We start from the raw sequence: 25,643 nt of genomic DNA on the forward strand, positions 1-25,643 counted from the left end.
TTTTTTTTTTTTTTTTTTTTTTGAGATGGAGTCTTGCTCCATCGCCCAGGCTGGAGTACAGTGGCGCAATCTCAGCTCACTGCAACTTCTACCTCCAGGGTTCAAGCAATTCTCCTGTCTCAGCCTCCCGAGTAGCTGGGACTACAGGCACGCACCATCATGCCCGGCTAATTTTTGTATTTTTAGTAGAGACGGAGTTTCACCTTGTTGGTCCAGTTGGTCTCAAACTCCTGACCTCAGATGATCCACCCACCTCGGCCTCCTAAAGTGCTGGGATTACAGGCATGAGCCACCATGCCCAGCCAACCCTGTCTCTTAACAACAAAAAAAACTTCTTCATGGACTCGTTATTTCTCATCCCCCACATAAAACAGCAGGCTACTTTTTGCTATGAAAAGAACAAACTCCAATTGGAAAAAGTAAAATGGGGACTCAGTGGTTCACTTGCCTCTTATAGGTGCTCCTGCATTTTACCAATTCCCCCTGCAATGTTACTTTCTCTTTCTGCTGATTCCAGGGGAATATGGCTGCTGAAAATGAGGAAATTTTTCACTAAAACAAACAGACCTTTCTTTAATTGGCTCTCAGTTATAAAAGATTATGAAGACTTGAATGCTTACTAAAGAAATCTGCAAACAGCACCTCCACATACTCTATTTGTATCCTCTCCTGGTTGTACTTGTTTCCCCCAAGGTCAGTCCTCTCTGCACTACCATTCTCGCCACATTTAGCAGAGGGTCCTTCCTCCTGTGCAGTGAGGAAATCAAGGTGATGGGGGAATTGAGGTGGGGTCTCCCCCAGTATCCCCTTGCTGTCCCTCAGCCTCCTCCTTGGCACGTACAGAGTCATCTATATCCACATCCACCATTATCTCCTTCCCTCTAATCCCTGACCCCAATCAAGCTGACACTTCTGTGGCCAGTTCTGCGGTCAGTCCATTTGCCCGACATGGCCAGCTCCTTCTAGCTTCAACTGCCTGCCTACAACTCCCCAGAAAGAGAAAATTCCGTCTTCTCTCCACGGAAGTGGCCACACACTAAACCAGAGGTGAGCACTTGGCTCAAGGGAGCCAACCCATCAGCTGACTAGCAATCTTCAATCTGCTCAATTCTGCCCAGGGGTAGAACTATACCAGATCATCTTGGCTAAGAATTTGAACTTAGACTCACACATACTCTGCCAATTGCTGTGATGAATGCTAGAATAAAGAAGCTAGATGTAGTGTGAGTCATTCACTCATTCTTTGAATACAGATATACTATGCCCCTGCTCTGATCCAGGCTCTCTGCTAGGCGCAGGAATTCAGCATAAACAAGACAAGGTCATATTTTGACCAGGCACGGTCTGTAATCTCACACCTGTAATCTCAGCACTTTGCGGGGCCAAGGTAGGCAGATGACCTTAGGTCAGGAGTTTGAGACTGGCCTGGCCAACATGGCAAAACCCCATCTCTACAAAAAATACAAAAATTAGCCAGGTGTGGTGTCAGGCATCTGTAATCCCAGCTACTCAGGAGCCCAAAACAGAAGAATCGCTTGAATTCGAGGAGCAGAGGTTGCAGTGAGCCGAGATCGCGTCATTGCACTCCAGCCTAGGCAACAGAGTGAGACTCCATCTCAATTAAAAAAAAAAAAAAAAAAAAGAGGGGGCTGGGCACGGTGGCTCCTACCTGTAATCCAGCACTTTGGGAGGCCGAGAGGCAGGTGGATCACGAGGTCAGAAGTTTGAGACCAGACTGGACAAGATAGTGAAACCCTGTCTCTACTAAAAATACAAAAATTAGCCAGGCACGGTGATGGACACCTGTAATCCCAGCTACTTGGGAGGCTGAGGCAGGAGAATTGCTTAAACCCGGGAGGCGGAGGTTGCAGTGAGCTGGGATCGCATCACTGCACTCTAGCCTGGGCGACAGAGCAACACTCCATCTCAAAAAAAAAGTAATGTTTTCAACAGAGTTTACAATCTGTCACTCAAATAATTCTATAAAATCTCCAAGAGGTGCTATAAAATAGGGCCAGAACCTAGTGGAATCTGGAGGCTGGCAGTGGGGACAGGGGAGAGAAGAGAAGGAACAGGGGGAGTATGAGAGTGGGCAAAGATCTAGGCAGAGGAAACAGCATTTGAGAACGTCCTAAAAGAGGAAGAAAGGAGGAAGGAATGGAGCACATTTAAGGAACTGAAAGGCCAGTATAGCCAGAGTACATAAAACCGAGAGGTACCTCAGTTTTATGAGAGCCCAGGTGTGATACGGCTTTGACATGCTATCTCACACTAAAATTATCTCACAGCACTTTAAGGGACAGCAAAAAATACAATGAGGCTAAAAACATATTCACACATAGGAACAAGGTTATCCCAGCCAATTGTTTCACCAACTTATTCTTTTTTTTTTTTTTTTTTGAGACGGATTCTGGCTCTGTCACCCAGGGTGGAGTGCAATGGCACGATCTCAGGTCACTGCAACCTCTGCCTCCTGGGTTCAAGCAATTCTCCTGCCTCAGCCTCCCAAGTAGCTGGGATTACAGGCACATGCCACCATATCCGGCTAATTTTTGTATTTTTAGTAGAGATGGGGTTTCACCATGTTGGCCAGGCTGGTCTTGAACTCCTGACCTCAAGTGATCTACCCGCCTCAGCCTCCCAAAGTGCTGGGATTACAGGCATAAGCCACTGCGCCCGGCCTACCAACTTCTTGCACTAGCAAAGTTTCCTTCATTTTCATACTGCCTAGAAACCACAGCCCAACCATCTCTGCCCTGTGCAAAATTAGGTATAAATTCATAGCTTTCTTGGGAAAACATGAGAACAAGACAGAGTTTGAGGAGGTTTTTGGTGTGTTTACTATGCTCCAAGCACATTTCTGCTGTCAGGCAAGACCTATAGATATTTTCATCTAAAAAATCAGGCCCACTCTAATAGCAACTCCATATTTAAGGTAATCCAGATAAGAAACATGCTAATTTAATTTTAATTGTTTTAAAGTAAAACTTTTACAATACCTGGTAAAAGAGTTCCTCTTATTTCAAAGGCAACCTGAGAAGGTGTCATTCTGATGGATTTATTTTATGATGTCGTGCTAGGAAAAAAAAGAAAAGTAACTTATAGTATAAAAATATATGCCTTAGCTAGCCACCATCAAGAAACAACTTCAACCAAGAGCTATTTATATTTTTAAAAGCAATATTTAATGTCTTTGCAGTTTTATGGTGGGATTGTTTTTGTTTTTGTTTTAAAGTAACTTTAGTGCGGGGGGGGGGGGGCGGGAAAGAAACAAGTGAAAAAGCAAAAAAATAAACCAGGCACAGTGCCTCATGCCTGTAATACAAACACTTAAGGAGGCTGAGGCAGGAGGATGACTTGAGCCCAGGAGTTTGAGACCAATTTGGGCAATATAGTGAGGCCTCATGTCTACACACACACACACACACACACACACACACACGCCAGGCATGGGGAGCATGCCTGTAGTTCCAGCTACAGATTGAGACTGAGCTGGGAGGATCACTTTAGCACAGGATGTTGAGGCTGTAGTGAGCTGTGACTGTGCCACTGTACTCTAGCCTGAGCCACAGAGCAAGACCCTGTCTCGAAAAAAACAAAACACAAAGTCTCAATAAAGTTTTTTTAAAAAAAGCAAAAAATGAAAATGAATCTCAATTATGAGCAAAAAAAAAGATTAATTTCAGAGTCCTTATATAAACAGTGACTCAATTACTTGGGAAGTATCTAGCAAGTTTGAAGCCTAGTGCTACAAAGCTATTCTTTCAGAATATATGTTCAAAAAGAAAACAAAACAAGACAGAATACATGCCCGAAATACACACTGTAAAACAAAGTATCCAAACTTGTTATTTTTTAAGTCGTCAAGATTCTTTTGCTACATACTTTCTCTTCTGATAAGCAGCTGTTCTGAATTCAAGGTATCTTTCCTGACCAGGGTAATACTGTGGTAGAGAAGAAAAACAACTATAGAGAGAAAAAAGCTTCACTTAATGAATTTCTACTTTAACACAAAGGAAACAACCAAAGTATCACCCACTAAAACAAACTACTTGTTATGTTGTGGAACAAGTTTGAGAATCTGCTTCTAAGACACAATGTAACTTATCATTAAAAGAAAAAGAAAAGAAGGAGTCCAGGCAAGTGGCTCACACCTGTAATCCCAGCACTTTGGGAGGCCGAGGAGGGCAGATCACTTGAGGTCAGGAGTTCAAGACCAGCCTGACCAACATGGAGAAACCCCGTCTCTACTAAAAATACAAAATTAGCCGGGCGTGGTGGCACATGTCTGTAATCTCAGCTACTCAGGAGGCTGAGGCAGGAGAATTGCTTGAACCTGGGAGGTGGAGGTTGAGGTGAGCCCCCCCACCTGCCTCCCCCTCCAAAAAAAAAGAAAAAACTTTCTACACAAATAACTTTTCAGATTTTCTCTTTATTAACCCTAGGACCATCATTACTCAGGTTCTACAGGCTCAAATTTACAGTCTCAACTCTACCTACAACCTATTATCAAATCCTGATGATTCTATCTAATTGACCTTATATCCATTTTGTCAATTAGGATTCTTCCTCACATCCCTGGCTTGGAATCACTTTGATTATTTATAGAAATCTGAACTCCATAGTAAAAGGAATTTAAGGAGATTAAAAAAAGAATAAGAAAGAAGTCTAAACTCCAAGCCTTTGAAGTTCTTTTCCACTTATCCACATTTTGTCTAGCTAATTTTTTCATTTCTTCCCTGTCAGTCAAAGGAATCTGTTTCCCATCCACTAACTTAAGTACCTAAAGGAATATAAAAAATAGCTTAATACACACATGTACATATAATATACTTCGAGATACTTACATAATTTAAATGGAGAAAGAACATACTCCATCCAAAGACACACCATATTCTACATCATAACTTCTCCAACACCCCTCAAAAAAACCTTTGCCCCCCCCACCAATGTTACAAGAATTCCAATCACATCTTTATTCTGCATCATGTACATTACTCTACCAGCTTAAATTTCATTTGCATTTATATATTACCTTATGAAACAATTCTAAAGTACCTTTCATAGCTACCTTACATAGTCATTTTTCTAGTTCTGCTTTGCTCCCTTCCCCTCCCCCTGAATCATTTAATGAACACTGCTACACACAATTAACCACACTTCCCAGTCAAGGTAGATAGATCTATACCAGCAGTTCTCACCAAAGGCAATTCTTCCCTCCAGGGGATTATTTGGTAATGCCAGGAGGCATTTTTGGTTGTCACAACTGGGAGTGGCACTCCTAGCATCTAGGGGTAAAGGCCCTGCTGAACACCATACAATACGCAGAACAGCCCTCCACAAATGATTAATTGTCCAGCTCCAAACATCAACAGGGCTCAGGTTGAGATGAGGGTCAAGAGTCCAGGCTCTATGTTAGCTATAAACTATGTATCATCACATTTACATCAATTATAAAATGTAACACTGAATACATACACATATATATATTTATAAATGTACACTGTCAAATATTCATCTCACAGAGTGCAAGACCACCAATGTGCAGTCATGTCACATTTGGATATGAAATTCCCTATTTGGCAACTCTACCATTTTGGTTAGAATACCCAATACTACACTAGTGCAAACCTTCCCTTTGGCCAGGCACAGTGGCTCATGCCTGTAATCCCAGCACTTTAGGAAGCCGAGGCGGGTGGATCACCTGAGGTCAGGAGTTCAAGACCAGTCTGGCCAACATGGTGAAACTTTGTCTCTACTAAAAATACAAAAATTGGCTGGGCATGGTGGTGGGCACCGGTAATCCCAGCTACCCAGGAGGTTGAGGCGGGAGAATCACTTGAACCTGGGAGGCAGAAGTTGCAGTGAGCAAAGATAGTGCCACTGCACTCCAACCTGGGCAACACAGCGAGACTCTATCTCAAAAGAAAAGAAAGAAAGAAAAAAGGCCGGGCATGGTGGCTCATGCCTGTAATCCCAGCACTTTGGGAGGCTCAGGAGGGCAGATCATGAGGTCAGGAATTCAAGACCAGCCTGGCCAACATCTCTACTAAAACTACAAAAATTAGCTGGGCATGATGGCACGTGCCTGTAGTCCCAGCTACTCGGGAAGCTGAGGCAGGAGAATCACTTGAACCCAGGAGGTGGAGGTTGTGGTAAGCCGAGATCATGCCACTGCACTCCAGCCTGGGCAACAGAGGGAGACTCCATCTCAAAAAAGAAAAAGAAAAAAAAAAGGCTTCCCTTCATCAAAATAATTTCTAAAATAAATAATTTCTTATTCTACTTTCTGCATCTAAGAGTAAACATGGCGGCCAGGTGTGGTGGCTCACGCCTATAATCCGAGCACTTTGGGAGGCATGAGAATCACTTGAACCCAGAAGGTGGAGGTTGCAGTGAGCTGAGATTGTGCCACCACACTCCTGCCTGTGTGACAGAATGAGACTCTGTCTCAAATAAAAAAAAAAAAAAAAAGCCTGACATTTAAATTACTGAATTAATTTTAAGAGAGCAAATACTCTATCACCCATCAAAAGAGCTGAATGACCACTTCAGTCTTAACCTTAACCAAATAAGGTGCCCTTTCATTTGGTGTTTACTGCTGCGGTTCTCAACTAAAGACAACCTCATATACATGATTAAATAGTTTGTATTTTGCTATTTGTTGACTAACTTTAAATAACTATTTTAATCAACTTAAGGGAAATCAGATATTATTCCTATGTACTAAAATCAACAGCTAGTACAAAATTATCTCTAGATTTCTACTGCATGAAAGCAAATGGAAAACTTAAGTAAATATAATAAAAGGGAAATGAACTGATTATAGAAATTGAGTCTTTTATTCTCAAAGATGTTTGGAAGAGTGACTACAGTAACTTAGCGGTAAACAGCTGCAGTAAATGTACTATACAAAGCTATATACACAAGCACAAAAACACCTCCCAGAAAACCTCTCCAAAAGTCAACAAAGCATCATCTTCCACTTGATTTACCAAAGTCAAGCAATCTGGTTTGATTTCCACCCTGAGCGCCCCCCTCCCCAAATTTGATACCATACCAAATAAAAGCCTCAGGAGCTGTTCCAAATGCAATTCACTTGATTATGGACAGAGGCCAAAAGTCTGGTGCAGTGTTGTAGTATACAATTTTGGCATCCAGTTACCACCAAAACAGCAGTGACCAAGTAAAAAAATGACTGTGTTGTGAAACAAAAAATGTATGCACCCACCCATACACCTTCTTCTAAACAAGGAAGAAAAAAAAAAATCACAACTTGGAAAGGGAAGGTCAGTTCTGGATATACATAAAAACAAGAGTAAGATGAAAAATGTTAGTCATTGTATGCACATGAGCTGACCAGATAATTTAACCAACTCGCCTATTACCTCACATACAGACTACACTTCCTGAAACAGGCTTTTGCTTTTTGGTTTTTGAAAACGTAACATCTATTCTGTACTTTTTGAAGAGAAACACTAAATGGCATTCTCATCTGAGATTCTGGGTAGTATTTAAATAACCCTTTTTAAAAGACTCAAGCAATCAGCAAAATACAACATGGTAATTAATCCACATTTTAAAAAATTTCAGAGTTCACACTACCTGCCAAAATAAATTTTACTCTATTCTTTTCCTCAAATAAACTTTCCCGACACGTGACACTACTGATTTACCAGGCTGGGAAACCAAAGGGATATGAAGTAAACCAAGGTAAAGGGACATTCACTTTAGAGCTAAATTGAAGTCAGATATTTTTAGCTAAAGTGTTTTTTTGGCTACAAGGAACATGTCAGTCTTCCTTCGAATTTTTTCAAGGAAAAAAGCTGTTTCCAATTCTTCTTGCCCTTTCCCAGGCCTTGGCAGCTTTGATCCTCCTAACTAGCTAAATAAAGTAATATATAAAATGCCTAACTTTCCCTGAGTTAATTTTTGCTCATCTTGGTGAAGGATCATTACGACCCTTGCTACATTTCTGACAAGTTGTGACTGTCATTCTGATTCCCATATACTTGAAGCCAATATCTTAATCAAATATGTTAAGACGTTAATGGATCTTTATTTAAAAAGTGTTTCTGGAATAAGTTTCTTTACGCCAAGTTAATTCCTTGATCAACTTTCTAAACAATGCAGTAACATTTTCCCAAATGTTTTCCATTCATTTTACCGTGATATTATTCTCTTGTGTATGTTTCATACCTTTTTTCCTGTTTTAACTCATACGTAAAGATTCGATTCATCAACGTACTTTATGTACGTATCAAATTTTACTCACTTTGCTACGATGAGTTTTCTTTTGTGGTCATTATTTCTCAAGAGTCCAGCTTTCCCACGTCGTTATTTTGCAGATTTAAATTTTGTCTAGAATACTGGTTTTCTCTAGCTCTTGGTTCTTCCTAGTTCTTAAATCAGGAATGGATTGCACCATGTGCAGTTTTGCTTGTTTGCTTGGTGTTATTTGTATCCACGACATTAGGAATTTTGAAAAAAAAAAAAAAAGACTGATACCTTGTATTTATTTCTTAGTTAAGTCACAGCTCGTCAGCAACGTAGCAAGGGGAAGCATGACGGGGTAGAGTAGTGGGTGAGAACTGTGCAGAAATGGGAGGAGGCGACAGAAGAGTATGAAGAAAAAACATCGGGTCCAAACATCCTGCTCAGTTCCATCAGTTCCTCTATGCAGGTCTACATCAGACTAACAGCTGCCTTAAGGTGGAAGAATCCTCTACAATTCATGCCCGATTTCTTTTCCAGCCAGCCAGTGGAGTCTGGGGAGAGGGCTGATGAGGACACCTAAGTGATTGAGGCTCTCTCTCCTACCTCAGCAAGGCAGTCTGAAGAGCTTTGGGAAAAGTAGAGCTTTGGAGAGAAGGGGCAGCAGACCTAAAAAATTGTATCGAGGGCACTCATGACTATTCCTGGAACCTTTTCCTAGGAAAGGCACTTTAGTTTCTTGGAATAACTGAATTATACAAGCATGCCCTAGACTACGTGTCCGGGCAATTTCAGAAAATAAGCAGTTGTCAAAACACGGTGAGTAACTTAGGGACAGAGAGCGGCGGTGAGCCGGGGGCCGCTGTGGGGCAGGGGATGTCCCCAGAGGACCTCATCTGCATTTTTGGTGTCTTTGTTCCCCGACTCAGTACTCTGCATATTTGCGGTAGTCCTATGCTCCACGCACCCTGCTACTCCTCAAATGCTCCACGTATTTTTTAGAAGGGAACTAAGCCCCAGGCAGCCCAGCAGAAGCGCGGCAGTGAACAATAAAAGTCGAAGAGTGCGTCCCAGCCACCGATTTAGCGCAGCGAACGCCCGGCCGCCGTTCCCCTGCGGGCAGTGGCCGGCCCGGCCCGGCCCGAGGACCCCGCCCGCGCCTCGGCCCCGACGCCCCAGGCCCGCCGCGTCCCGGGCCGCCCTGACAGCTCAGCCCGCCACGTGAGTGGCCGCCCGGCCCCCGCACCCGGCTCGCTGCCTCACCTCCGGGTTCGCTAGTCCGCAGGTCCGCGTCGCCGCCGCCCCGCCCGAGAGCGAGGACCGCGGGCAGAGGTACCGGGCGCCCGCCGTCCGTGCCTCGCCAGCGCTCCCCCCAGGCGGCCTGCCGCGGCGTCGAGCGGCAGGAAGCAGCCACGCTCAAACCGGTTTCAGCTGCTCCAGACCAAACTGCCAGGCCACCCCGCGGGGCGGGGCCGGAGGGCGGTGGGGCGGGCCCTGACGTCACGCCCGGCGCCGTCCCAGCCAATCGGCAGCCGCGTGCGGGGGGTGCGGGCCCGCGCGTTCCTGGAAAGGGCTGACGTACGCGGCCGAGGGCGGCCGGGCATCCCCCGTGTCCCCGCTGCCCTTCTCAGCCGACCCCGGCGCCCGCACGTTGGAGAGCTGCCCTGGGGTCATAGGCTTGTACTGTGGTCCACCAAAGCCGCCTTAGAAATAACCCACGTGGGCCGGGCGCGGTGGCTCACGCCTGTAATCCCAGCACTTTGGGAGGCCGAGGCGGGCGGATCACCTAAGATCAGAGTTCGAGACCAGCCTGGCCAACATGGTGAAACCCTGTGTCTACTAAAAATACAAAATTAGCCGGGTGTGGTGGTGCACGCCTGTAATCCCAGCTATTCGGGAGGCTGAGACAAGGAGAATCGCTTGAACCCGGGAGGCGGAGGTTGCAGTGAGCTGAGATCGCACCATTGCACTCCAACCTGGACGAGAGCAAAACTCCGTCTCAAAAAAAAAAAAAAACCGACTATGGATCCTGGAGCTACAATTCAGAGTTGTATTTTTTTTCCCCATTTGAAAACGGGGGAAATTACCAGTACTGATGTTTTCTAGAAACTTTCTTTCGTTGCAAAACAGCAATCACACTTGGATCAAATCATTAGTTGAAAACTATTAAGTCACCTAAGCTGGATGAGAGTTTATACCCTTGCTACGCAAAGTATGGTCGACAAGCCAGTAGCACCTGCCAGAACTCAGAATTGCACACTCCCAGGACCATCCCAGACCTACCCTATCAAATCTGCCTCTAGCAACATCCCCACGTTAACAAGTATGCAAATTAAAGTTTGAAGGAACTTTTTTGAAAGCTGACTCTCCCTGCCAGAGTTGTAGTTTATTTTCTAAAAAATGAACCGTATCAAAAAAAAAAATTTTTTTTTCCTCTCCTTTGGTGGTCTCCAGAAAGTTAATCAGCATTTGCCACTTGAAGTTCTCTTACGAAACTTTGCAACTTGCGGGGCGTGGTGGCTCACGCCTGTAATCCCAACACTTTGGGAGGCCGAGGCGGGCGGATCACGAGGTCAAGAGATGAAGACCATCCTGGCCAACATGGTGAAACCCCGTCTCTACTAAAAATACAACAATTAGCCAGGCATGGTGGCGCACGCCTGTAGTCCCAGCTACTTGGGAGGGTGATGCAAGAGAATTGCTTGAACCTGGGAGGTGGAGGTTACAGTGAGCTGAGATCGCACCACTGCACTCCAGCATGGCAACAGAGAGAGACTCTGTCTCAAAAAACAAAACAAAACAAAACAAAAACTTTGCAACTCATCTAACTTACACTGTTACCTTACCAGTATCAAAGTTACCCTCTGGTTAGTGTCCAATATAAAATTATATCAGCAGCTTTTACTTAAATCAAGTGAGATATTGAAAAGTAAAAAGAGGCCTGGTGCGGTGGCTCATGCCAGTAATCCCAGTACTTTGGGACCCCGAGGCGGGCAGATCATCTGAGGTCAGGAGTTTGAGACCAGCCTGGGCATCATGGCGAAACCCCGTTTCTACTAAAAATACAAAAATTAGCCGGGTGTGGTCGAGCGCCTGTAATTCCAGCTACTCGGGAGGCGGAGGAACTAGAATAACTTAAGCCTGGGAGGTGGAGGTTGCTGTGAGCCAAGACTGCACCACTGCTCTCCTACTTGGGTGACAGCTAGACTCTCGCAAAAACAACAACAAAACAAAACAAAAAACCGACTAAAAAGAACCACCTTTCAGGAGATGTCGAAGTTCTCTTACAACAAGACATAGAGAAATAGCTCGAGTTGCACGCTAGTTCAAAATGGGCCTACTGAAAATGTGTTTGGATTAGATGAGCTCTAGCTTTAGGCAGAATTTCTGGTTTTATAAATCGGATTGTCCTCTACCACATTTGATATTTAGCTTGGATTCAATCCCAGAAAATTTCTGACAATGTCATCCATTCAGTTAAATAATTAAGTGCCTGCTTTATGCTAGGCTCAGGATGCAATAGTTTTTTGATAGTACTCATTTTAATCCCAGATTTCTTAAAGAATTAAAATTCCTTCTGGTTATGTGCCATTACCCATTAAACTCTGCTGTCTTACATTTGCTACGTAGTTTGGAGTGAATTTCCTCTGTTAGTCATACTTCAGTGACGAATTTTTTCATAAGAGTTTGCTTCCTTAAAATGTTTATAGATCTTTATTTTTCTTTTTTTTGAAATGGAGTTTTTGTTGTTGTTTTTGAGACAGAGTTTAGCTCTTGTTGCCCAGGCTGGATTGCAATGGCGTTATCTCGGCTCACCGCAACCTCCACCTCCCAGGTTCAAGCGACTCTCCTGCCTCAGCCTCCTGAGTAGCTGGGATTACAGGCACCTGCCACCATGCCTGGCTAATTTTTTATTTTTAGTAGAGATGGGGTTTCAGCATGTTGGCCAGGCTGGTCTCGAACTCCTGACCTCAGATGATCCACCCACCTCGGCTTCCCAAAGTGCTGGGACTACAGGCGTGAGCCACCACACCCAGCCAGATATTTATTTTTCTATAACCACCATTTAGTCAAGATATTTGCCTAGTGTTTATAGTTCCAGTTAATAGACCTAATCCATGCTCCTTCCCTAAATCCTTTTGAAATGACAGAAGAATTATACATATTCAAAGGATGCCATCAATGGCCAGAGACTGAGAAATGTCTATAATAGGGGTTCTTTTGGCTCCCCTGGGTCACATTGGAAGAAGAAGAATTGTCTTGAGCCACACGTAAAATCCACTAACACTAAAGATAGCTGATGACCTTTTTAAAAATCGCAAAAATTTTATAAAGTTTTAAGAAAGTTTACGAATTTGTGTTGGGCTGCATTCAAAGCCGTCCTGGGCCACATGTAGCCCCCGGGCCATGGGTTGGACGAGCTTGCTCTAAAAGATATGGAACAAGCCAGTAACATTAGAAGACCGGCAGAGAGGCTGGGTGCGGTGGCTCACTCCTGTAATCCCAACACTTTGGGAGGTGAAGGAGGGCGGATCACGAGGTCAGGAGATTGAGACCATCCTGGCTAGCATGGTGAAATCCTGTCTCTACTGAAAACACAAAACATTAACCGGGCATGGTGGCACACGCCTGTAGTCCTAGCTACTCAGGAGGCTGAGTCAGGAGAATCGCTTGAACCCAGAAGACAGAGGTTGCAGTGAGCCGAGATCGTGCCACTGCCGTCCAGCCTGGGTGACAAAGCCAGACTCCATCTCAAAATGAATAAATAAGAAGACTGGCAGAGAAACTATACTCATCCAAGAGAAGAAGGAATTCCTACAGATGCCATTTTACACAGCCTTGCTTAGAAACTCTTTGATAATGCAATGTATTTTAGATTACTCCATAATCGCACTGTTCTGATTGGGATACTGAAGTAGAATATAGATAATTAGAATATAGGTAATGCATTCCCACATTCCTTTCTCCCAACACTCTGTGAAATGTTAACTTTTCTTTTTTCTTTTTTTTTTTTTTTGAGGCGGGGTCTTGCTCTGTCACCGAGGCTGGAGTGCATGATCACAGCTCACTGCAACCCTGACCTCCTGAGCTCAAAGGCTCCTCCCACCTCCACCTCCCTGGTAGCTAGGATCACAGGTGTGTGCCACCATGCCATTATGCCTGACTAATTGTTTCTTATTTTTTGTATAGATGGGGTTTCATCATGTTGCCCAGGCTGAATTTGAACTCTTAGGCTCAAGAGACCCTCCCACCTCAGCCTCCCAATGTGTTGGGGTTACAGGCATGAGCCATGGCTCCCAGCCATAACTTTTCAAACATATGGTTAATGAGATCAATTTAGGTCTTAACTGATTACTTCCAGAAGAGCTCCATATGTTTTGAATTGTATAAAATATTTAACATTCATTATTGTACTTGATTAAATAATGAAATACGTTACCTCATTTGTCTGAAATCAGGACCACAGGATCTCACCTTATGCAATCATTTTTTGAAAAACATTAGTAGGGAGTCTGAGCCTACTCTGGCTAAGGAGGCTGCCTGATTTAAAAAAAAGAAAGAAAGAAAAATGGTAGCAGTCCAGCCTGGGCAACAAAAAAGTGATTCTAGCTCAAAAAAAAAAAAAATATATATATATATATATATATATATATCCATGTCAGATATATGGCAGAATATGGTGGCACCAGCCAGTAGCACTAGCTACTCCAGAGGCTTAGAGGGGTGGATCTCTTGAGTCTGGGAGGTCCAGGCTGCAATGAACCATGATTGCACCTCTGCACTCCAGCCTGGGTGACAAAGGGAGGCTGTGTCTCTTTAATAAAAAAAAAAAAATTAGCAGTATTGATGCAAAAAACTCTAGACATAGAAGCCAGACATGGGCTTGAATCCTACCCTTTACAAGTGACAAGTGGCTTTTTTTTGGACACAGAGACTCACTCTGTGACCCAGGCTGCAGTGCAGTGGTGTAATCTTGGCCCACTGCAGCCTCCACCTCCTGGGTTCAAGCGATTCTCATGCCTCAGCCACCCAAATAGCTGGGATTACGGGTGTGTGCTATTACGCCCAGCTAATTTTTGTATTTTTATTAGAGACAGGGTTTCGCCATGTTGGCCAGGCTGGTCTTGAACTCCTGACCTTAAGTTATCCTCCAGCCTCGGCCTCCTAAAGTGTTGGGATCACAGGCATGACCCACTGCACCCAGCCTGTGACATTGTGAACATTAATCTTTGGTGAAAATTTTGCTGCTACTGGTTTATGTATGTATGTATGTATGTATGTATGTATGTATGTATGTATGTATTTATTTATTTATTTTGACACAGAGTCTTGCTCTGTCCCCCATGCTAAAGTGCAACGGTGTGATCTTGGGTCACTGCAGCCTTCATCTCCTGGGTTCAAGTGATTCTCCTTCCTCAGCGTCCCAAGTAGCTAGGATTACAGGTGTGCACTATTATGCCCAGCTAATTTTTGTATTTTTAGTAGAAACGGGGTTTTGTCATGTTGGCCCAGCTGGTCTCAAGCTCCTGACCTCAGGTGATCTGCTGCTTCAGCCTCCCAAAGTGTTGGGATTACAGGAGTGAGCCACTGGGCCTGGCCAAGACAAGATCTTGTTCGGTTGCTGAGACTATGGGTGGACATCACCATGCCTGGCTAATTTGGGGTATGTGTGTGTGTGTGTGTGTGTGTGTGTGTGTGTGTGTTAGAGATGTAGTCTCACTATGTTGCCCAGGATCATAGAGTGATTTTTTTTTTTTTTGAGACGAGATCTTACTCTGTCACCCAGGCTGAAGTGCAAGTGATGCAATCTCAGCTCACTGCAGCCTCCACCTCCCAGGCTCAAGCAATCCTCCCACCTCAGCCTCCCAAGTAGCTGAGACCACAGGTGCATGCCACCATTTTTGGTGGAGGGGAGCTTCTCCATGTTGCCCAGGCTGGTCTCAAACTCCTGAGCTCAAGCGATCCTCCCACATCCACCTCCCAAAGTGCTGGGATTACAGGCATGAGCCACCGTGCCCAGCCAATACAGGGATTTTTTTAAACCAGCCACCAACTATAGCTTCTACCATTATGAGTTGGCTTTTGTGACCATTATTTCATGAGTCCAATTTTGCAAGTCTATATTTTGTTACAAAGTATTGATTCTTCCAACAATGTTTAGGTAATAGCACAGCTTACCTTGGCAGTTTTGCTATTATCAGCTTCGTTTTGCACTGATTCTTCTCCCAGAAATATTAATTATGAGTTGGATAAAAGAATAATCACTTATAGGCCGGGCGCAGTGGCTCACGCCTGTAATCCCAGCACTTTGGGAGGCCGAGGCAGGTGGATCACCTGAGGTCGGGAGTTCGAGACCAGCCTGACCAACATGGAGAAACACCGTCTCTACTAAAAATACAAAATTAGCCAGGCATGGTGGCACATGCCTATAATCCCAGCAACTAGGGAGGCTGAGGCAGGAGAATCACTTGAACCTGGGAGGCAGAGGTTGCAGTGAGCCAAGATCGTGCCATTGCACTCCAGCCTGGGCAACAAGAGTGAAACTCTGTCTCAAAAAAAAAAAGAATAATCACTTATATTTATCTCTTGGCCAATTCATGAAAATATTTTGATTATTCTCAGATATTCCACAATTGCTCTACTATGAGAATCTTTTTTTTTTTTTTTTGAGACGGAGTCTCGCCCTGTCACCTAGGCTGGAGTGCAATGGCAAGATCTCAGCTCACCGCAATCTCCACCTTCCAGGTTCAAACAATTCTGCCTCAGCCTCCCAAGTAGCTGGGATTACAGGTGCCCGCCACCACACCCAGCTAATTGTTGTATTTTTAGTAGAGACAGCGTTTCACCATGTTGGGAGGCTGGTCTCAAACTCCTGACCTTGTGATCCACCTGCCTCGGCCTCCCAAAGTGCTGGGATTACAGGCGTGAGCCATCGCACCCAGCCAATACAGTGATTTTTTTAAACCAACCACCAACTATAGCTTCTACCATTGTGAGTTTCCTTCTGTGGCCACATTATTTCATGAGTCCAATTTTGCAAGTCTATATTTTGTTACAAAGTATTGATTCTTCCAGCAATGTTTGGGTAATAGCACAGCTTACCTTGGCAGTTTCAGCTATTATCAGCTTCATTTTGCACTGATTCTTCTCCCAGAAATATTCTTTATGAGTTGGATAAAAGAGTAATCACATATACTTATCTCTTGGCCAATTCATGAAAATATTTTGACTATTCTCCTCAGATATTCCACAACTGATCTACTGTGAGAATCTTTTACCAGACTCAAACACTATCAATTTTATGTGTTTTATGCACCTCATTGGTGGCCCTGCTACTCAAAGAAACTTTCCATGCCTTTTACTCCCTTGGCTTGAGTCCATGCGGCAGTTTCCCAAACTATAGTATGCACTACCTAGGCTTCATGTAGGTGATAAAATTGTTAGTGTTTGCTATTGATTGTTCTTTTAGATAAAGATCAATCCTAAAGGCTGGGCGCGGTGGCTCACACCTGTAATCCCAGCACTTTGGGAGGCCGAGGCGGGCAGATCACCTGAGGTCAGCAGGTCGAGACCAGCCTGGCCAACATGGAGAAACCCTGCCTCTACTAAAAATACAAAATTAGCAGGGCGTGGTGGCACATGCCTGTAATCCCAGCTACTCGGGAGGCTGAGGCAGGAGAATTGCTTGAATCCAGGAGGTGGAGGTTGCAGTGAGCCGAGATGGCGCCATTGCATTCCAGCCTGGGCAACAAGAGCGAAACTCTGTCTCAAAAAAAAAAAAAGAAAAGAAAAGAAACAAAACAAAGATAAAGATTAATTCTATATGGAGAAGACCAAGGAATTGCTGATTTCTGAAGCAATTTAAGTGCCTCAAATATGAGCCTTTAAACCAATTTTAAATTGGCTGCAGTTTTTTGGGTATATTGCTTTCCAACTTCTTGAATCCATCATAAGATCCAAATGTCTGGAGCAAGAAAGGTTCACATGGTAAGGTCAAAAGGTCTTCCTTGACCCATTTCTTCCTTTATGAAATGAGAATTTAACACTATAGGACGGCCTGGTGTGGTAGCTCATGCCTGTAATCCTAATGCTTTGGGAGGCTGACGGGGGAGGATTGCTGGAGACCAGGAATGTGAGACCAGTTGGGCAACATAGCAAGACCCCATCTCTAAAAAATAAAAATAAAAAATTAGCCAGCCATGGTGGCTTACGCCTGTAATCCTAGTTACTTGGAAGGCTGAGGTAGGAAAATTGCATGAACCTGGGAGGCAGAGGTTGCAGTGAGCCAAGATTTCACTGCTGCACTCCAGCCTGAGTGATAGAGCAAGACTCTGTCTCAAAAATAAATAATAAATAAATAAATAAGGGCCAGGCATGGTGGCTCACACCTGTAATCCTAGCACTTTGGGAGGCCCTAGCAGGTGGATTGCTTGTGCCCAGAAGTTTGAGGCCAGCCTGGGCAATGTGGCAAAACTCTGTCCCTACAAAAATACAAAAATCAGCCAGACCTGATGGCATGTCCCAGTGGTTTAAGCTACCTGGGAGGCTGAGGTGGCAGGATTGCTTGAGCCTGAGAGGTTGCGGCTACAGTGAGCTCTGATCACACCACTGCACTACAACCCAGGCAACAGAGGGGAGACCTTGTCTCCAAAAGAAAGAAAAAAAAAAATTCAAAAGCCATCTCAAAAGTCTAGTCTTAGGTTCTACAACAGTGATGTTAATTACAGGAGTAATTGGAGAAGTCGCAAATCTTGTGATTTCCAGAATAAAGATTTGTAATACATCTGCATCTTAGTCAAATTTTAACCCCTTCCATCCTCCTAACCTGTGGCCTTTCATTAGTTTTACAAAGGCAGTTTAGTTTTGGGAAAGGCTGTTACCATTTTTTAATTTTTCAAATCTTTTTCTTTTTCAGGGTGGGTGAGGGGGCCAGACCCTGCCTCAAAGAAAAAAAAAAGAAAAGAAATGAAAAAATCTTTTTCTTTTTTATTTCTTTTCTTTGTTTGTTTTTTGAGATGGAGTCTCACTCTGTCGCCCAGGCTGGAGTGAGTGCAGTGGTGCGATCTCAGCTCACTGCAACCTCCACCTCCTGGGTTTAAGTGATTCTCCTGCCACAGCCTCCCGAGTAGCTTGGATTACAGGCACCTGCCACCACGCCTGGCTAATTTTTGTATTTTTAGTAGAGACAGGGTTTCACCGTGTTGGCCAGGCTGGTCTCGAACTCTTGACCTGAGTGATACACCCGCCTCTTCCTCCCAAAGTGTTGGAATTACAGGCGTGAGCCACCATGCCCGGCTTTTCTTTTTTCCCTTTTTTTCTTTTTGAGAAGAAGCCTCACTCTGTCGCCCAGGCTGGAGTGCAATGGCGCAATCTTGGCTCACTGCAACATTCGCCTCCCAGGTTCAAGTGATTCTCGTGCCTCAGCCTCCCGAGTAGCTGGGATTACAGGCATGTGCCACCATGCCTGGCAAATTTTGTATTTTTAGTAGAGGTGGGGTTTCACCATGTTGGTCAGGCTGGCCTCGAACTCCTGACCTTAGGTGATCCGCCTACCTCTGCCTCCCAAAGTGCTGGGGTTACAGGCGTGAGCCACCACTCTTGGCCGGCTTTTCTTTTTCATTAAGAAACATATTACTGCTTTTTTCTCCCCCACCTTTTTTGAGATGGAGTCTTACTCTGTCACCCAGGCTGGAGTGAAGTGGCGTGATCTCGGCTCACTGCAACCTCTGCCTCCTAGGTCCAAGCGATTCTCCTGCCTTAGCCCCTGAAGTAGCTGGGATTACAGGCATGCACCACCATGCCCAGCTAATTTTGTATTTTCAGTAGAGACGGAATTTCGCCATGTTGGCCGGGCTGATTTTGAACCTGTGACCTCAGGTGATCCACCTGCCTTGGCCCCCCAAAGTGCTGGGATTACAGGCATGAGCCACCGCCCCCGGCCCAATGAAGCTTTAAAGAAAAATTACCACCTTTAACACAATGTAACATAATTGCAGCCTTTTTTTGTTGTTGTTTTTTGTTTTTTGTTTTTTGAGACAGAGTCTCGCTCTGTCGCCCAGGCTGGAGTGCAGTGGTGTGATCTCGGCTCAATGCAAGCTCTGCCTCCCGGGTTCACGCCATTCTTCTCCCTCAGCCTCCCAATTGCAGCTCTTTAAGGCATGTGTAATATAGACTCTTTAGAAATCAAAACCTTATAAAACTGCCAGGCATGGTGACTCACACCTGTAATCTCAGCACTTTGGGAGGCCGAGGCGGGTGGATTGCCTGAGCTCGAGAGTTCGAGACCAGCCTGGCCAACATAGCGAAACCCCGTCTCTACTAAAAATACAAAAAATTAGCCGGGCGTGGTGGCGGGCACCTGTAGTCCCAGCTACTTGGGAGGCTGAGGCAGGAGAATCGCTTGAACTCGGGAGGCGGAGGTTGTGGTGAGCCAATATTGTGCCACTGCACTCCAGCCTGGGTGACAGAGTGAAACTCCATCTCAAAAAAAAAAAAAAAAAAAAAACCTTATGAAACTAAGAAGCCAAAGTTACTTCAGAAAACATTGAACTGAGCCATTTTGTTTCCTCCCTGGTCCATTTATTATGATGATGAAAAATAATGTTATTATGATTAATTTTTTGTATCTTTCCAAATGCCTCTCAGTCTTGTGCATTCGGCATTAAAATGGATTCCCCAAGGGAATTCTTTCTACTGCTTAAATGTTTCAGCAATTCACTGGCTATCATTTTATCATTTTAGTGAAAATATTGATGACTGTCCACAGAATGAGCTGCTGTTTGCAGGGTATATCCTTACTGTGAACAAAAGAGCTTTAACAGCGCGGTTACCACACACCAGGCTCAAAAACCCAGCTGCCAACTCCAGGCTGGAAGCCAGCCAAAGTGAGCTAGGACTGGAGTCAGGAAGACAGGGGTTCTTGGCAATGACACCCAATTAATTATGTGCATGATTTAGATGGGGGAAGATTAGAGGCCATGCTTTTGCTCTCTGTTCTACTCCTGACTTGCTGGCTCATACCCTACCTTTGTTATTTACTTATAACATGAAAACGAGAGTGACGACTAACACTTCCTTGCCTTTATCTGTTATATCTCTATTTTGCTTTCCTATAAGCAGGCTTTCAAGGCAAGGAGGTCTTTTTTATTTTATTTTATTTTATTTATTTATTCATTTATTTTTTGAGATAGAGTTTCGCTCTTGTTGCCCATGCTGGAGTGCAGTGGCACAATCTCAGCTCACCACAACCTCCACCTCCAGATTCAAGCAATTCTCCTGCCTCAGCCTCCCGAGTAGCTGGGATTACAGGCATGCACCACCACACCTGGCTAATTTTGTATTTTTAGTAGAGACGAGGTTTCTCCATATTGGCCAGGCCGGTCTCGAACTCCTGACCTCAAGTGATCTGCCTGCCTCGGCCTCCCAAAGTGCTGGGATTACAGGCATGAGTTACTGCACCTGGCCCTGGCGAGGACTATGTCTTATTGATCATACCAGTTGTTATGTGCACAGTTGCTGGCACATAACAGTGCAAATATACTCACAGACAGCACTGAAAATTTCAGGAAAAAGTACTAGGTTTGTCAACCCTCGATGTCAATATTTTATTTATTAATCATATAACAATGCTGGGCTTAGCCACTGGAGAGGTTTTTTTTAAAAATGTATTGACTTTGGGCCAGGAGTGGTGGCTCACGCCTGTAATCCCAGCACTTTGGGAGGCCGAGGCGGGCGGATCACGAGGTCAGGAGATCGAGACCATCCTGGCTAACACAGTGAAACCCCGTCTCTACTAAAAATACAAAAAATTAGCCAGGCGTGGTGGCGGGCGCCTGATGTCCCAGCTACTCGGGAGGCTGAGGCAGGAGAATGGCGTGAACCTGGGAGGCAGAGCTTGCAGCGAGCCAAGATTGCGCCACTGCACTCCAGCCTGGGCGACAGAGCGAGACTCCGTCACAAAAAAAAAAAAAAAAATGTATTGACTTTGGAATGCATACCCCAACCCAGCACAGGCCCCCACCATGCCCTGTTGCTCACTCACTCTCCTAATCATGCATTTCATATTTCCAGCCTGGCCCAGGATTCCAGGCTTTGGATTTCAGGGTAAAGAACAAACTCCTGATTATCTCAATCCTGTTGGGTAAAGGGAACTTTATCCTCTTTCATGAAAATAGTTGGGCATCCTGGCTATGTCCCTTGCTATATTTTCCTGCTAAAAGAGCAAATTAAATCCAAACCCAATGTGCATGGAGAGAAGGTGGAAATCATCCAAACCACTTGGAATTAACCAATGCTATCATACAATCAATTAATATGACTAGATATAAACAGGCTAAGAGATCAAAAATGAAATAATAAAAATATTTTCCTAAAGAAAAAGGAAGACAGACTAGGTGGGGTGGTTCATGCCTATAATACCAGCACTTTGGAAGGCTGAGGAAGGCCAATCACTTGAGCCCAGGAGCTTGAGACCAGCCTGGGCAACATGGCGAAACCCCATCTCTACTAAAAATACAAAAATTAGCAGGGTGTGGTGGGGTGCACCTGTAGTCCCAGCTACTCAGGAAGCTGAGGTGGAAGGAACACTTGAGCCCAGGAGGGTAAGGTTGCATTGAACCAAAATAGCACCACTGCACTCCAGCCTGTGTGGCAGGAGGGAGACTCTGTCTCAAAAAAAAATGAGTAAATAAAATAAAAATAAATAAAAAAGAAAAGAAAAAAATACCAAGGGAATATGAAAGTAATGATTAGCATTCTAAGACTTTTTTTTTTTTTTTTGAAATGGGGTATTGCTCTGTCACCCAGTAGCAGGGACTCCAGGGGCATGCCACCATGCCTGGCCAATTTTTGTATTTTTTTGTAGAGATGGGGTTTCGCTATATTACCCAGGCTGATCTTGAACTCCCGAGCTCAATGAATGCACCTACCTTGGCCTCCCAAAGTGCTGGGATTACAGGTGTGGGATTACCCTAGCTGGTACTTTTTAAAATCAGAATAAATGGTCTTTACTTATTTAATACAAACATTATACCTATAACTCATGACTGGAAAACTGAATTAGGGCCGGGTACAGTGGTTCATGTCTGTAATCCCAGGACTTTGGTAGGCTGAGGTGGGCAGATCACTTGAGGTCAGGAGTTCAAGATCGGCCTGGGCAACATGATGAAACCCGGTTCCCACTAAAAATACAAAAACTAGCCAGGCACGGTGGCACACACCTGTAATCCCAGCCACTTGGGAGGCTGAGGCAGAAGAATCGCTTGAACCGAGGAGGCAGAGGTTGAAGTCAGCAGAGACTGCACCGCTGCACTCCAGCCTGGGTGACAGAGCAAGACTCTGTCTCAAAAAAAAAAAAAAAAAAAAAAAACTAAATTATAGTGTGTGCAGTCAACCAATGCCCATCAGAAATGAAAACTATCTCCTAAGTTACTTTATTACTCAGCCAGGTATGGAAAATAGCATTTGCGTGGGCATGGTGGCTCATATCTGTAATCCCAGCAGTTTGCAAGGCTGAGGTGGGAGGATCCCTTGAGGCCAAGAGTTTGAGATCAGCCTGGGCAACATAGTGAGATACCATCTCTGAAAAAAAAAATTAATAGGGATTAATAAATTCTAATATTAGTTGAGGCTGAGCCCTGGTGGCTTACACTTGTAATCCCAGCACTTTGGGAGGCCGAGGCAGGTGGATCACTTGAGGTCGGGAGTTTGAGACCAGCCTGGCCAATATGATTGAGTTGTATGTTTTACCTCATGGCATGAGTAAAACATACTCATCTTTTAGTAGAGATGGCGAAACCCCATCTTTACTAAAAATACAAAAACTAGCCGGGCGTGGTGGTGAGTGCCTGTAATCCCAGCTACTCAAGAGGCTGAGACAGGAGAATCGCTTGAACCTGGGAGGTTAAAGTTGCAGTGAGCCAAGATCACGCCATTGCACTCTAGCCTGGGCGGCGGAGTGAGACTCCGTCTCAATCAATCAATCAATCAATAATATTAGTTGATTTTAGAGAATTTGTAACCACCCAGTGGGTTCACCTTGCCTGCTATCTAGATAGAGCTGATTTCTCAAGACAGGGGAATTGCAATAGAGACAGTAATTAACACAGAGCTGGTACAGGAGACTGGAGTTTTATTATTACTCAAATCAGTCTTCCCGAGCATTTGGGGATCAGAGGTTTTTCTTTTTTTTTTGTGAGAGAGTCTTGCTTGTTGCCCAGGCTGGAATCCAGTGGCTCAATGCTCAATCTCGGCTCACTGCAACCTCCGCCTCCCAGGTTGAAGCAATCCTCCTGCCTCAGCCTCCCAACTAGCGGGGATTACAGGCACACACCACCAGACCCGGCTAATTTTTGTATTTTTAGTAGAGATGGGATTTTACCATGTTGGCCAGGCTGGTCTTGAACTCCTGACCTCAGATGATTTGCCCACCTCGGCTTCCCAAAGTGCTGGGATTACAGGTGTGAGCCACTACGCCTGGCCAGGGGATCAGAGTTTTTAAGGACAACTTAGTGGGTGGGAGGAAGCTGGTAAGCCGAGAATGTGGATGGGCCATGTCAGAGATGAAATTATAGGGAGTTGAAGCTGTCTTCTTGCACTGAGTCAGTTCCTGAGTGGGGCCACAAGGTCAGATGAACCAGGTTATCTTTCTGGGTGTTGCCAGCTGATCCATCAAGGGCAGAGTTTGCAAAATATCTCAAGCACTAATCTTAGGAGCAGTTTAGGGTGGGTCAGCATCTTGTAGCCTCCAGCTGCATGACTCCTAAACCATGATTTCTAATCTTGTGGCTAATTTGTTAATCCTACAAAGGCAGTCTAGTCCCCAGGCAAGAAGGAGGGTTTTTTTGGGAAAGGACTGTTATTGTCTTTGTTTTAAACTATAAACTAAGTTTCTCCCAAAGTTAGTTCAGCCTATGCCCAAGAATGAACAAGGACAGCTTGGAAGTTAGAAGCAAGATGGAGTTGGTTAGGTCAGCTCAGTTATAATTTTGCAATGGTGGCTTCAACATTTTTCTGGGTTTGGGGAGAGAAGTTCCAGGCAGGGAATTGACCACAGAAGGGTTCTATAGAAAAATGGCCTCAGGTGGCGGGGCGCGGTGGCTCACGCCTGTAATCCCAACTCTTTAGGAGGCCAAGGCGGGTGGGTCACCTGAGGTCAGCAGTTCGAGACCAGCCTGGCCAACATGGTGAAACCCCATCTCTACTAAAAATACAAAAAGTAGCCGGGCGTGGTGGCAGGCACCTGTAATCCCAGCTACTCAGGAGGCTGAGGCAGGAGAATCACTTGAACCTGAGAGGCCGAGGTTGCAGTGAGCCGAGATCGTGCCATTGCACTCCAGCCTGGGGGACAAGAGTGAGACTTCATCTCAAAAAAAAAAAGAAAAGAAAAACAGCCTCAGGTTGGGTGCAGTGGCTTATGCCTGTAATCCCAGCACTTTGGGAGGCCAAGGTGGGAGGATCACTTAAACCCAGGAGTTCAAGACCAGCCTGGGCAATATGGCGAGACCCTGTCTCTACAAAAACTAAAAAATTTAGCCAAGTGTAGTGGCCTGTGCCTGTGGTCTCAGCTTCTTGGGAGGCTGAGGTGGGAGGATTGCTTGGGCCTGAAAAGGCCATAGTGAGCCACGATCACGTCACCATACTCCAAGACACTGAGACAGTATGACCCTGTCTCAAAAAAAAAAAAAAAAAAAAAAAGGAAAATAAAAGAAAATGGTATCACTGTCTAATAAAGTATCAAAACATCATTAAAATCAGTGATTATGTCCTTAGGTCCCAGATCAAACTCCAGAGAAGCCATTTTCAAATCACCAATTCATGATTCAAATTATAGAATTATAACCAAAGTGAGGACCCATAGTATAAGGCAAACAGCCAAAATTCTTTCCCTAGAAGATCAAAACATCTTTTGAAAATTTTTAAGGAACTCAGAGCTCTAAGATTCCCGTGTTACCCAAAAATCTCTTTTTGTCTTCAAAATAATGCTGATCTGTAGTATGCCAGTGATAGGGACAGGAGTCAGAGAAATTGTAGGCAGAAAAGGGCAGAGTCCCTGGTAAAGCCCTACCCTCAAGCCTGGAACCTTCGCCCAAAATGAGAACATGCATTCCTGTTTTCCCACTTGAAAGTTGCCTTTTCCAAAACCACCCATGACCCACCCTGCCACTCATCCTGTACCCATGGAAACCCCTGACCTGACTGGCAGAGGGCAGAGAAGGGGAGAAGAGAAGCAGCTGGACATCAGAGAGTGCAGTTTGATGTCAGAGAGAAGCAGCTTGACTTCAGAGGGATGGCTTGACAACCTTGCTTCCGTCCCCAGCTGGACTCCAGGGGAAGATCACCTTCCCACTCCATCCCCCTTCTGGCTCCCCTTCCTGCTGAGAGCCACTTTCATCAGCAATAAAATCCTCTGTATTCACCACTCTTCAGTT

General features: G+C 44.7%; 1 protein-coding gene across 1 annotated transcript in view, besides 4 other annotated features; it reads right to left on the reverse strand.

Annotated features, from left to right (window-relative positions):
- Positions 1-9,642, reverse strand: part of GPCPD1 (glycerophosphocholine phosphodiesterase 1) — a 66,568-nt gene extending 56,926 nt beyond the window's left edge. The window contains exons 1-2 of the mRNA NM_019593.5: positions 9,478-9,642; positions 3,000-3,076 (exon numbers count right to left, since the gene is read on the reverse strand). Coding sequence (NP_062539.1) covers positions 3,000-3,048 — 49 coding nt within the window. The 5' untranslated portion in view covers positions 3,049-3,076; positions 9,478-9,642. The remainder of the gene's footprint in view (positions 1-2,999; positions 3,077-9,477) is intronic.
- Positions 5,320-5,369: a silencer, noted in NCBI's record as "silent region_12656". NCBI's record gives its function as "represses an Ori minimal core promoter by ATAC-STARR-seq in GM12878 lymphoblastoid cells {active_cell/tissue: GM12878}" and the evidence as "EXISTENCE:reporter gene assay evidence [ECO:0000049][PMID:35858748]".
- Positions 8,476-9,348: an enhancer, noted in NCBI's record as "H3K27ac hESC enhancer chr20:5590486-5591358 (GRCh37/hg19 assembly coordinates)". NCBI's record gives its function as "activates a minimal SCP1, AML or CMV promoter by ChIP-STARR-seq in primed H9 embryonic stem cells {active_cell/tissue: H9 hESC(primed)}" and the evidence as "EXISTENCE:reporter gene assay evidence [ECO:0000049][PMID:30033119]".
- Positions 9,331-9,950: a silencer, noted in NCBI's record as "silent region_12657". NCBI's record gives its function as "represses an Ori minimal core promoter by ATAC-STARR-seq in GM12878 lymphoblastoid cells {active_cell/tissue: GM12878}" and the evidence as "EXISTENCE:reporter gene assay evidence [ECO:0000049][PMID:35858748]".
- Positions 24,151-24,652: an enhancer, noted in NCBI's record as "H3K4me1 hESC enhancer chr20:5606161-5606662 (GRCh37/hg19 assembly coordinates)". NCBI's record gives its function as "activates a minimal SCP1, AML or CMV promoter by ChIP-STARR-seq in primed H9 embryonic stem cells {active_cell/tissue: H9 hESC(primed)}" and the evidence as "EXISTENCE:reporter gene assay evidence [ECO:0000049][PMID:30033119]".

This window comes from Homo sapiens, chromosome 20 (assembly GCF_000001405.40).
Source record: "Homo sapiens chromosome 20, GRCh38.p14 Primary Assembly".
Lineage (NCBI taxonomy): Eukaryota > Metazoa > Chordata > Mammalia > Primates > Hominidae > Homo > Homo sapiens.